This window comes from Homo sapiens, chromosome 21 (genome assembly GCF_000001405.40).
Source record: "Homo sapiens chromosome 21, GRCh38.p14 Primary Assembly".
Taxonomy (NCBI): Eukaryota; Metazoa; Chordata; class Mammalia; order Primates; family Hominidae; genus Homo; species Homo sapiens.
In genome coordinates, this window is record NC_000021.9 from 17,462,138 (window position 1) to 17,475,645 (window position 13,508).

Genomic DNA, 13,508 nt, shown 5'->3' on the forward strand with positions numbered 1-13,508 from the left:
GATTACTGTATGTTTATTTGTTTGTTTGTTTGTTTGTGTGTTTCTTTGTTTTGAGATGGAGTCTCGCTCTGTCACCCAGGCTAGAGTGCAGTGGCATGATCTCGGTTCACTGCAACCTCCGCCTTCCAGGTTCAATCAATTATCCTGCCTCAGCCTCCCAAGTAGCTGTGACTGCAGGCACACGCCACCATGTCCAGCTAATTTTTTTTGTATTTTTACTAGAGAGGGTTTCACCATGTTGGCCAGGCTGGTCTTGAACTCCTGACTCGAGTGATCTGCTAGCCTCAGCCTCCCAAAGTGCTGGAATTACAAACATGAGCCACCGCGCCCAGCCAGATTACTGCTCATTTGTTACTCATTCATACCTACTGGTTATTCATTAAAAATAGCCCAGGTTTATGTTTTTATTGGCCTTGTCTAGTGGCTTCCTCCATGTCCGGAGACTCTCTCTGTCCCTGATATGAAAGCACACTTAGTAATCAAACATAAGCACGGTACAGGCAGAGATTCGAAACCAACTATGAACCAGGAAATACAAATAATGACTTTCATATAAGGTTTCTGTCTTGTAAATGTTGATAATGCTTATCAGCTAAAGGAATAAAGTCCAGCCCTGCACCCAACACAGCTGACAACATGATCTTTGTAATCCACAAAATGTCAAGTATAATTACCCTGACCGTTCCTTCACTTAAAAAAAAAAAATCAAACTGGCCGGGCGCGGTGGCTCACGCCTGTAGTCCCAGCACTTTGGGACGTGGAGGCGGGTGGATCACGAGGTCAGAAGATCAAGACCATCCTGGCTAACACAGTGAAACCCCGTCTCTACTAAAAGTACAAAAAATTAGCCGGGCGTGGTGGCGGGTGCCTGTAGTCCCAGCTACTCAGGAGACTGAGGCAGGAGAATGGCGTGAACCCAGGAGATGGAGCTTGCAGTGAGCTGAGAACACGCCACTGCATTCCAGCCTGGGTGACAAAGCGAGACTCTGTCTCAAAAAAAAAAAAAAAAAAAAATCAAACTATGACAAGAGAAAATTTGTGTTTCTTTAACAGAACCCAGCCAGGAAGGTCATAAAATCTAGTCATGACAGGTTCTCCTCTCAGTAGAAAAACTTTTTTTCCTAATAGTAACTGACCTTTCTCATAATTTTTTTCACCCCGTCAAACATTTCGAAGACTTAACGCAACTACTTTTGTTAGTTGGATGGAAAACACCTTGTGATTCAGGTAGAAATAATTCTTCAAGCAGAGGAATTTATATAACTGTGCCTTTTACTATCCATTAAGCAGTTTTTTTATGTTGGCCTACTTGTAATGTGTATCAATGTCAGTTTAAAAGAGGAAACAACATTCAGCCTTTTCACTGGTTTATAATAAGAAATCACTATTTCAAATGACCTTCCCTGAATACCACTCTCTACTGAGTGCTGGAAGGAGCGTGGACAAAGATGAGTAAGACACTGCCCACGCTCTCTGTATGCATGCAATCTGGTGCCTGCGATGACATCTACTCAAAGAACTCAGTCAACTGGCAAGCTAACAAGGTCTATAGCCATGGGTGAAACAGACTGCCTTGAGAATATGGGAAGATTAATTCCAACTGGGGGATTTGCTAGGGTGTGTAGTGACCACGTGGGGATGTCAGAGGAATGGGAAAACAAGAAGATTAAGGGATGAAAAGAGACTTGAAACATTTAAGAATGGAAGTCTGGTTGAGGAATTCAGACTTAACCATGTAAGTCCTGGGACTGGAAATAACAATGCTCAGACGTGTGTTTCCTTAGCAAGATTTTATGTGTTCTTCATTTCATACAATGAACAACATAAAATATATTATTTAAGGTCTACAAAAATCTCCAACCCTACCTTCTGTTGCTGATCCTCTTGGCCATTTTGTTCCTGCAAAAGAGCACTCCTTTCCCACCAAATGCACTTTCTCTCTGACCCCCCGGCATGTCTTGAGTTCGGTCACCTCTGTTTCCCTCCAGCTCTGCTACCAGCCTGAAATCTTTGTCCAGTCTTCTCTAGCTATTCAATTTATACACTCAGCATGCTTTTTTTGTTTTTGTTTTGTTTTTTTTTTTTTGAGACAGAGTCTTGCTCTGTCACCCAGGCTGGAGTGCAGTGGCAAAATCTTGGCTCATTGCAAACTCCACCTCCGGGGCTCAAGCGATTCTCGTGCCTCAGCCTCCCAAGTAGCTGGGATTATAGGCGCCCACCACCATACCCAGCTAATTTTTGTATTTTTAGTAGAGACGGGGATTTCACCATGTTGGCAAGGCTGGTCTCAAACTCCTGACCTCAGGTGATCCGCCCACCTCAGCCTCCCAAAGTGCTGGGATTACAGGCATGAGCCACCGTGCCTGGCCTCACTCAGCATGTTAATTGAAATTACACATATATATGTAATTAATATATAATAATATAAACATATATATTTTTAGAACTGAGGGCCTAGTATGTATTAAGCAGTGTGAGAGATAGAAAAGTATAACAGATCAGCTCACTGCTAATCAGGGAGTTTACCGTCTATCTAAATTCTATCCATCCTTTGAGAGAGCTTTTCCAGACCAGAAGCCCAGCCTGTGAAATTTGAGGGTAAAATATTCCAGAGTGAGGAACAGTCTGTGCTAAGCCCTCGAATGCAAGGAACGCAGTGGAATGCAAGGATGCACGGGGAGCATCCCAGAGCCCCTCTTCAGAATGAGATTTGGCTAAGGGCTTTGTTGCAAGTGCTCCAATCCTATGTCCTTCACTCCTCGATAAACTTTCTACCTGCAAGTTCTCATCTCAGACTCCCTGAGAAACTGGACATAAAATAGTAAAATATATAGTGATGATTTTATAACATCAGCAACAGGCCGGGCGTGGTGGCTTATGCCTTTAATCCCAGCACTTTGGGAGGCCAAAGTGGGTGGATCACGAGGTCAGGAGCTCAAGACCAGCCTGACCAACATGGTGAAACTTCGTCTCTACTAAAAATACAAAAATTAGCCAGGCGTGGTGGCGCACACTGTAATCCCAGCTACTCAGGAGGCTGAGGCAGGAGAGTCGCGTTGAACCTGGGAGGCGGAGGTTGCAGTGAGCTGAGATCGCGCCACTGCCTTCCAGCCTGTGCAACAGAGCGAGACTCCGTCTGAAAAAAAAAAAAAATCAGCAACAAAAAAAGTAACGATAATCTAAAACAGTAGGATATATAGCAATAAAAGAGGCCGGGCGTGGTGGCTCACACCTGTAATCCCAGCATTTTGGGAGGCCGAGGCAGGCGGATTACGAGGTCAAGTGATCAAGATCATTCTGGCCAACATGGTGAAACCTTGTCTCTACTAAAAATACAAAATAAGCTGAGCATGGTGGCACACGACCGTAGTCCCAGCTACTCAGGAGGCTGAGGCAGGAGAATCACTTGAATCCGGAAGGTGGAGGTTGCAGTGAGCCAAGATTGCACCAGTGCACTCCAGCCTGGCAACAGAGTGAGACACCATCTCAAAAACAAACAAACAACAATAAAAGAGAGATGAAATTTTGCCTAGAGAAAAACCTTGAACTCCATGATATGGAATTTATTTATTTATTTATTTGTTTTATTTTATTTTATTTTTTGAGACAGAGTCTCACTCTGTTTCCTGGGCTGGAGTGCAGTGGCGTGATCTTGGCTCACTGCAACCTCCACATCCCAGGCCCAAGTGATTCTCATGCCTCAGCCTCCCGTGTAGCTGGGATTACAGGCATGCGCCACCACATTTAGCTAATTTTTGTATTTTAGTAGAGACGGGGTTTCACTATGTTGGCCAGGCTGGTCTCAAACTCCTGACCTCAGGTGATCCACCCGCCTCGGCCTCCCAAAGTGCTGAGATTACAGGCATGAGCCACTGTGCCTAGCCTGGAATTTATTCTTTATCCTATGAAACAGTTGTTTCCAAAGTGAAGTGGCTAAAAGGATGGTAAGGGGTATAGGAAGAAATTATTTATTAATTATTCATAGTTTTATTAATGTCTTTTTTCTGTTTTGTAATATAGATAACATATTGGTAAAAATAACACATCTAAATAATTTGAATATATATGTGTGTATAATAATGTGTGTATATATATATACACACATATACATACACACATATACTTTGGTATGTGCTCTAATTTTTTCTTCTTTTTGTTGTTGAGGCAGGGCCTCACTCTGTTATCCAGGCTGGAGTGCGGTGACTCACTAAAGCTGAGGCTTTAGTGGTAGGACTAAACCAGGAAGTTGAGACTTCCTGGGCTCAGGCAGTCCTACCATGTCAGCATCCCAAGTAGCTGGGACCACAGGCACAGGCTACCATGCCTGGCTAATTTTTAAAATGTTTGTAGAGACAGGGTCTCACTGTGTTGCCCAGGCTAGACTCAAACTCCTAGGCTCAAGCAATCTTCCTGTCTTGGCCTCTTGAAGTGCTGACATCATACCGGTGGGAGCCGCCGCACCTCTAATTTTCTTTCTTTTTTTTTTTAACCAATAGATGTATGCAATTAAAATTTAAGACCATACTGTAAACAATGGGAGAGTCATTGAGGTCTTATTTGCAGAGGAGGATATACTCAGCATATAAATTATAATAATGGATAATGGTTCTCAACTTTCTTCCTTTCTTTTTTTTTTTGTTTTTTGTTTGTTTGTTTGTTTTGAGATGGAGTCTTGCTCTCTGTCACCCAGGCTGGAGTGCAGTGGCACAATCTCGGCTCACTGCAACCTCTGCCTCCCAAGTTCAAGCGATTCTCCTGCCTCAGCCTCCCGAGTAGCTGGGATTACAGGCGCCCACCACTACATCCGGCTAATTTTTGTATTTTTAGTAGAGACGGGGTTTTACCATCTTGGCCAGGCTGGCCTCGAACTCCTGATCTTATGATCCACCTGTCTCGGCCTCCCAAAGTGCTGGGATTACAGGCATGAGCCACTGCACCCGGATGGTTCTCAACTTTCAACCCAGGAGAATTCCCTGGGAATTATTAGAAATTACTGATGACCAGACCACACCCCAAATTAATTACATCAACTCTCTGGGGTAGGAACGAACATCAATATTTTTCTTTTCTCTTGGTGATTCTAACGTGCCAGGGTTAAGAACCACTGAATTAGAGTTATAATCAAGTTTGATATGAATTGGCCAATGAAATAGTATAATTTAATATTAAATGTTAATTAATTAAAACTATTAAATGTTCTCAAAAGTTACAGAAGAATAAAAACTAAATATTTAAGAAGTTCTTTTACCTTAAGTATTGAAAATAAATGGTTTTTCTCTTCACGGGTTGTTTTTATTTCCTTATAAAGCCTAGCTGTCATGTGATCCTCCTGACTCTGCGGAAGTAAGTCAGAGAAATAAAGACTAACTCACTCATTAAGAGACCTTTTACATAAAACACTTTCTTATCTGTTAGAATTTGAGCTTTCTCAGACTCTCAGCTTGTTTTCCCAAGTTTACACAATAATAAAATACACACAGTGACCTTCTTACTCTTCTTTTGCCAGCGGATTATTTAATACTGATTAGCTTTGAAATGCAAATAGCCCTATCAAATAGCAAGCTACTTGCCTTCAACCGGACTAAGGCTGCATTAGAGTGAAAGTCAAAACTGTTTTATGCAAAGAAAAAAAATAGTCTGTCAAAGGCCCCTAGGTCTTCAATTTTTTCAGGATTATATTCAGGATATGAAATTCTTTGTACTGACTAACGGATTACCTTTTCTTCTAAATTCTTTTGTTTCCAAACTCCCAATCCTATGTTGACTTACAATTAACCCTTTGCTGACCATTAGTTGAACTTTCAAACCAAACATAACGCTTTCAGCATTTGTATTTATATCACAACATGACAAATACTAGTAAGAGAGGGAATTTTTACAGAAAAAGCTTATCTAGCCTCTTACATGAGGACCACTATTTGTTTTTCTTAAACAGAGAGTAACAACTTCAGGGCTGCAAAATACCTTTGAGATTACCTAATTCACCCTCTTCATTTTACAGATATGCACCCAAGGTCTGGTACGCTTTTACTAGGTCAGTGTTTGGGCTGAAGAAAACAGGGTTGGGTTGCTGAATAGTAAATTCCTGGTGGAATGGAAACTGAGCTGACATTGGCAGATGGGTATTAAACCCGCTGGAGTCCTCCGCCTGAAATTCAAGGCTTGAAAGAGTCAGAGGCTGACAAGATACCAAGGCTGAGACTGATTTACTCTTTCTTTTTCTTTTTCTTTACTTTCTTTTTTTTTTTTTTTTTTGAGACAGGGTCTCACTATGCCCCCCCAGGCAATGATCATAGCTCACTGCAGCCTCAAACTCCTAGGCTCAAGCTATCCTCCCACCTCAGCCGCCCCAGTAGCTGGGGCTACAGGTGCACACCACCATGCCAATTTTTTTGTTTTGTTTTGTATTAGACAGGGTTTCTTTCTGTCACCCAGGCTGGAGTGTAGTGGCTCCATCACAGTTCGCTGCAGCCTTGCCCTCCCGGGCTCAAGTGATCCTCCCACCTCAGCCTCCCAAGTAGCTGAGACTACAGATGTATGCCACCATGCCCAGCTAATTTTTGTATTTTTTGTAGAGATTGTGTTTCACCATGTTGCCCAGGATGGTCTCAAACTCCTGGGCTCAAATGATCCTCCCACCTTGGCCTGCCAAAGTGTGGAGATTACAGATGTGAGCCACCATGGCTGGCCTGCCTGGCTAATTTTTAAATTTTCTGTAGAAACAGGGTCTTGCTATGTTGCCCAGGCCAGTAATGAACTCTTGGCCTCAGGCCATGGGGATTACAGGTGTGAGCCCCTGCACTTGTCCAGGACTGATTTCTCAAAAGCAGCAGAAGTTGGTGGGGTTGCAGCCAGGTGGCCCAGCCCCTGACAGCACCTACCAAGGGACTGGGGACTGCCCAGCACTGGCTGGTCCCAGGTGATCCGGTCAAACTGGGCATTCCTCTGTAATATCCTTCTGAAGAAGCTGAATTAATATCTCAGTGGGATAGTTTAGAAATGACACAGACCTGGGGCAGAAATACAAAGCTTGCTACCAGCTATGGAAGCATCATCCTGTTTGCTTTGTCTTTTTTTTTTTTTTTTTTTTTTGAGACGGAGCTGGCTCTGCTCTCAGGCTGGAGTGCAGTGGCGCGATCTCGGCTCACTGCAAGCTCCGCCTCCCGGGTTCACGCCATTCTCCTGCCTCAGCCTCCCGAGTAGCTGGGACTACAGGTGCCCACCACCACGCCCGGCTAATTTTTTGTATTTTTAGTAGAGACGGGGTTTCATCGTGTTAGCTAGGATGGTCTCGATCTCCTGACCTCGTGATCTGACCGCCTCGCCTCCCAAAGTGCTGGGATTACAGGCGTGCAGCCGCGCCACGCTGCTTTGTCTTTAAAATTATCTGCCATTAGAAAATCAAACAGTTGCCAGGGGCTGGGAGAAGGGAGGCACGAGGAGTTATTGTTTAATGGGTGTGGAATTTCAGTTTGAGAGGATAAAATAAGTTCTGAGGATAGATGGTGGTGATGGTTGCATAACAATGTAAATATACTTAATGCCACTTGCCACTGAACTGTAGATTTTAAAATGGTTAAAATGGTATATGGTAGATTTTATGTGTGTGTGTGTGTGTGTGTGTGTTTCTTTTTAGAGGTAGAGTTGCATTCTGTCACCCAGGCTAGAGTACAGTGGTTCAATCATAGCTCACTGCAGCCTCAACTTCCTGGGCTCAAGTGATCCTCCTATCGCAGCCTCCCAAGTAGCTGGGACTAAGGAGTGTACCATCACACCTGGCTGGGTTTCTTTGTTTTAGTGTTTGTTTGTAGAAATAGGGTCTCACTATGCTGCCCTACCTAAATTTTGTTATGTATATATTACCACAACAAAAATATATCTGCTATTAGTTCTTTTCTTTTTCTTTCTTTCTTTTTCTTTTTCTTCTTTCTTTTTTTTTTCTTTTTTTAGATAGGGTCTTGCTCTGTTGTCCAGGCTGGGGTACAGTGGCATGATCATAGCTCACTGCAGCCTCTAACTCCTGGGCTCAAGCGACCCTCCTGCCTCAGCCTCCTGAGTAGCTGAGAATACAGGCACGTGCCACCACGTCCAGGTACTTTTTTTGATTTTTAGTAGAGATGGCATTTCACTTTGTTGCCCAGGCTGACCTCAAACTCCTGAGCTCAAGTGATCCTACTGCCTTGGCCTCCCAAAATGCTGGGATTACAGGCGTAAGCCACCACGCTCGACCTGCTGTTAGTTCTTAAATCACCATCTCTGTGTTGTTTTTTTTTTTTTTTTTTTTGTCTTTTTTTTCTTTGAGTTCAAGAGTTTTGCTCTTGTTGCCCAGGCTGGAGTGCAATGGCATGATCTCAGCTTACTACAACCTCCGCCTCTCGGGTCCAAGTCACTCTCCTGCCTCAGCCCCCCGAGTAGCTGGGATTACAGGCATGAGCCACCACACCTGGCTAATTTTGTATTTTTAGTAGAGGCGGGGTTTCTCCATGTTGGTCGGGTCTCAAACTCCGACCTCAGGTGATCCGCTCACCTCGGCCTCCCAAAGTGCTGGGATTGCAGGCATCAGCCACCTCGCCCGGCCCATCTCGTCTTTTAAATAAGTATCTCAGGCTCAGCACGGTGGCTCACAGCTGTAATCCCAGCACCTTTGGAGGCCGAGGCGGGCGGATCACCTGAGGTTAGGAGTTCGAGACCAGCCTGGTCAACATGGTGAAACCCTGTTTCTACTAAAAATACAAAAATTAGCCAGGCTTGGTGGCGGGTGCCTATAATTCCAGCTACTCAGGAGGCTGAGGCAGGAAAATCGCTTGAATCCGGGAGGCAGCGGTTGCAGTGAGCTGAGATCGTGCCACTGCACTCCATCCTGGGCGACAGAGCAAGGAACCATCAAAAAAAAAAAAAAACCCTCATATTCTCATGTAGTTTTTTAAATACCAAAATATTCAAGAAGTCTAGGTTTTGAGAAAATCATTGCCAGACTGAAAATTACCTGATAGTAAAATCTCTGAGTAAATTTAGATTTTAAAAATTTTGTCAGAAGCAATTGGTACTCAAAGAACACAAAGATTTGTAAATTTCAGGGAAGCTAAAGTTTTCTAACAGCCTCAAAAATTTTATTTCCCAACACTACTTTCCCCAAAGAGAAAAGTTTTGTTGTTGTTGTTGTTGTTGTTGTTTTTGAGACAGAGTCTCGTTCTGTCACCCAGGCTGGAGTGCAGTGGCACAATATTGGCTCACTGCAACCTCTGCCCCACCCCAGGTTCAAGCGATTCTCCTGCCTCAGCCTCCTGAGTAGTTGGGATTACAGGCATGTGCCACCACACCTGTCTAATTTTTGTACTTTCAGTAGAGACGGGGTTTCTCCATGTTGGCCAGGCTGGTCTCGAGCTCCTGACCTCAAGTGATCCGCCCACCTTGGCCTCCCAAAGTGCTGGGACTACAGGTGTGAGCCACCACGCCCAGCCAAGAAAAGATCTTAATACATAAGTAAAATATAGAACAGTCTCCTTGTAAGTGTTTCCAACACATAAAAGAAAGGGGAGGATCTTTTTGGAATTGTTGCGGTTTGTCATTTAATCGTCACTTTAAAGTGAAGAAGATTGAGTATTAGAGAAGTTAGTTTGTCCAAGGTTTGGAAGAACAGGGTTTTGGATTAGAACCTAAACCAATCAAACTCCAAATCCTCACTGTTAACAATTTTCTGTTGGCATGCAAATGTATTTCTTCCATCAGGCTATGTAATAATTATAAATAATGGGGCTGGTATAGACGTAAGGTACTGACACTGAATAATTCCCCAAAGAACCTTGAAGTAAACTGCTTTTACATAGTGGGAAAGAGTCCTCATAAAGCACTCAGCCCTGGAACATTCTTTCAAAAGCAAGACATAAAAAAAAATCAAAAGTAAAAATTCTCTATCACCGAAAAGGAAAAGACATTTTGTTGAGTGCAAAAGAAGAATCCTGCCAAGCAGAGAGAGTGAACTGTAGCAAATAGACACAGATATATCTGGATAATTAGGCATGATATAGTGAGTGTTTCACTGAAACTTGAACAGCTGTAGACAGAAACTGAGAATTCTATAAAGTTTCTATATTTACTCCCATATCAGGAAATTACCAACCTGGCTTGAAGCTATATGGCTCAGCCTGGGATAAAAACTGGTGTGAGAGTTCCAAAGGATCAGCAGGTGAATCAGAGCCAGGACAATAAAGAGAACAAGTACAGAGCTGTTTATCTTATTTCAGCTACAAGTTTTTCCAATACCTGACTGAGAAAGTGTTGAGAGTCAACACCCTTGTAGTCACGTATGGTCTATGTGTCTTGGTTTTCACATGCATCAGGAGCTGTACATGTGTACATATGCACACTTAGGAAAGCCAGGCCTTGGGCAAAACTATGGACAAACACAGCCACAAATTTATATAACCCCAGATCTGTTCCTTCTATCCTCTGGGAACTCCGGTTTTCCCATAGCCTTCCAGAATTGTTCTAGGAGGGACTAGAGCCTATTTTTCATGAGCAACTGGGTCTAGTTCTTGTTATTAGATATGACTCAGATCACTTCCAATCTGCAAAGCAGAAGCTGTGATGCCAGTGTTTGCTGAAAATGCTGCCACTGCTATTGAACATGCAGAGGTGTGCCGTTTTGGGGCCAATGTCTAATGTAGAAGAAAACATGTCCTTTGTCCGATCTATGAAGTCAGACGGCCAGGGTTCAAATTCCAGCTTTGCCATTCACTAGGTATATTAGCAGTGACAAAGGTTTGTGTATTTAGCAAATGGGATTTTCATAGCCCTACCTCATAGGATGGTGGTAATGGCAGATGATATAATGCATATAAAATGCCTAGTTAACAGTGATTGAATGCTTATTATAAGCTAAGCAAAGTACTAATACTGCTATTATCTGTAAGAAGCAAGCAGAAGATGCCACTCTCAGCAGTGTTCCATGCAGCAAATTGCTCTGCCAGTTTTTACTCAGTCTTTAATTGCAGGCCCTCGCTTTAGGATCTAGACTGCTCCTGAGTAACATGAATGGCAGAACCTGTGCTATGCTAAAAAACATCTTCTGGCTGGGCACGGTGGCTGACACCTGTAATCAGAGCACTTTGGGAGGCCAAGGCGGGCAGATCACGAGGTCAGGAGTTCGAGACCAGCCTGACCAACATGGTGAAACGTCATCTCTACTAAAAATACAAAAATTAGCCGGGCGTGGGGGCGCACGCCTGTAATCCCAGCTACTCAGGAGGTTGAGGCAGGAGAATCGCTTGAACCTGGGAGGCGGAGGTTGCAGTGAGCTGAGATCGCGCCACCGCACTCCAGCGTGGGTGACAGAGCGAGACTCCATCTCAAAAAAAAAAAAACAAAAAAAAAACCCATCTTCTGCACAGGTCCATATGTGGCTTACTCCTGGGGCAAACCGAGTGGGATGTCACCAATATCCAGGAGGTATAATAAATTGTACCTAGTTTACTAATTACGGAATTGCAGTACAATAGTAATGTTTTGTATCTTTTTGAATGACCAATTTAAAAATATCATATAAAAAGGTAGGAAAAAACCCCACAATTTTCAGAGACTTCCAGGTGTTGTTAAGAAGGGCCCCAAACATGATAAACGCCACTAAAATCTGAGTTGCCCACTAATATGGTTTGGTGTGTGTCCCCTCCAAGTCTCATGTTGAAGTGTGATCCCCAGTGTTGGAGATGGGGCCTGGTGGCAGACATTTTGGTCACAGGGGTAGATCCCTCAGGAATGGCTTGGTGCCCTCCAGATGGTAATGGATGAATTCTTATTCTGTTAGTTCATGGAAACTGGTTGGTTAAAGGAACATGGCACCTCCTCCTCTCTTGCACTCTCTCTCTCTCTCGCCATGTGATATACCAGCTCCCTCTTCACCTTCCACCATGATTGTAAGCTTCCTGAGGCCGTTACCAGAAGCAGATGCCAGCATCTTGCTTCCTGTACAGCCTGCAGAACCATGAGCCAAAATAAACCTCTTGCCTTTATAAATTACCCAGTCTCAGGCATTCCTTTATAGTAATGGAAACAGACTAATACACTCACTTTCAAAGGACACAGGTAAAGTCCCTCTTACAGAATGGTGCCTCACAAATCACACCTAATGTACATTAAGAATTTTATGAATTCCTCCTAAGCCTTTGTCCTATAGATCTACTTTCATGTCTGCACACATAGATATATGAACAAAGATAAGTGTTGTGGCAGTACAGCATATATGCATAAATAGAAACAAATGTCTGCAGAGAACAGGATAACTAAATAATGATACTTTTAAAAATAATTGAATAAATCTCTACGTTCTGATATAAAAAATTTTCAATATCACTAAGTGAAAAAAGCAGATGTTAGAAAGTATCTCTAATATGCCCGAGTTATGTGTGTGTGTGTTTTAAAATATGTATACACATCTGTTTATATACCTAAAACAATTATGGAAATATATACTATATATATATATAATTCCACATGGATATAAAACAGACAAAGTAAAAATCAACTACACGTCTAATATTTAGGAATTAAAATGATATCCCAAACTTCTCCCTCCTGTTAGTTTTACTTATTTTAAACAATATTTATTACGGCAAAATACCAATGAAAAAATTTGAATAATCTACAAAAATGTGTTGTAAGAAGAATGTAAAAGTAAAAAAGGCATTAGACATTAATGATAATTTTCTTTATCTAAACCTGTACCCAGGTTGTCTTTTCTGAATTCCTACTTACATCTCAGAACTGGAGGGGCTACGGAGTTACTTGGTTAAAGTATCATCCATTACCCAGCCATGTTCACAAGGGCAGAGGGAAAAAAAGCATTTCTTTTCTAAGTGCCTCAGACTTATGAGAATTGAAAGTTATAAAGTGCCATTTAATATTGTTTATCTATATTTTCCCTTTAGTTTAACCAAATCATACTGGGAGATATCTAGGGCCCTGTATTATGTAGAATAGAAGAAAGTATTTTAACAATTGTTTTACACTATAAGATAGCTTAACAAAAACATGAGCTGAGAAAATCTCTCAGATAAAATGATCAAATAACATAATGATTTTCTGAAAACAAATAAAATATTGCAGTCCTAAAGAAAAAAAAATGAGGGCCAAAACAATATTAGTACAAAAGTTTTCAACCGATGGTAAATAAGAAGATAGTCATAATGAAAGCATAATGAAAAAGATAAAGATTAAAGGAATTCCATATGAAAATAATCTAAGTATAACTGATGTTCTTGAAGAAAACTCAACAAATGTAAAGAAAGTTTTATTCAAAGATACAGTTCAAGAAATACCCCTGAAATGAGACAAAAACTGAATCTGCAGAACAAAATATCACCTCCAGGAAAATTTGATTTAGAACATTCAACTCATAGACAAGCTAATGAGGCTCAAGAATGAAGACTTTTTTTCCAGGCATCTAGATTTTATAGATAAACTACCACCAAAGGGAGAAAACTTTGGCCGAATCTCCGTGGCAATACTCAATG

At 42.1% G+C, this 13,508-nt stretch overlaps 1 annotated feature.

Annotated features, from left to right (window-relative positions):
* Positions 10,534-10,828: an enhancer, noted in NCBI's record as "tiled region #2602; HepG2 Activating DNase matched - State 5:Enh". NCBI's record gives its function as "activates a minimal TATA promoter and a strong SV40 promoter by Sharpr-MPRA in HepG2 cells {active_cell/tissue: HepG2}" and the evidence as "EXISTENCE:reporter gene assay evidence [ECO:0000049][PMID:27701403]".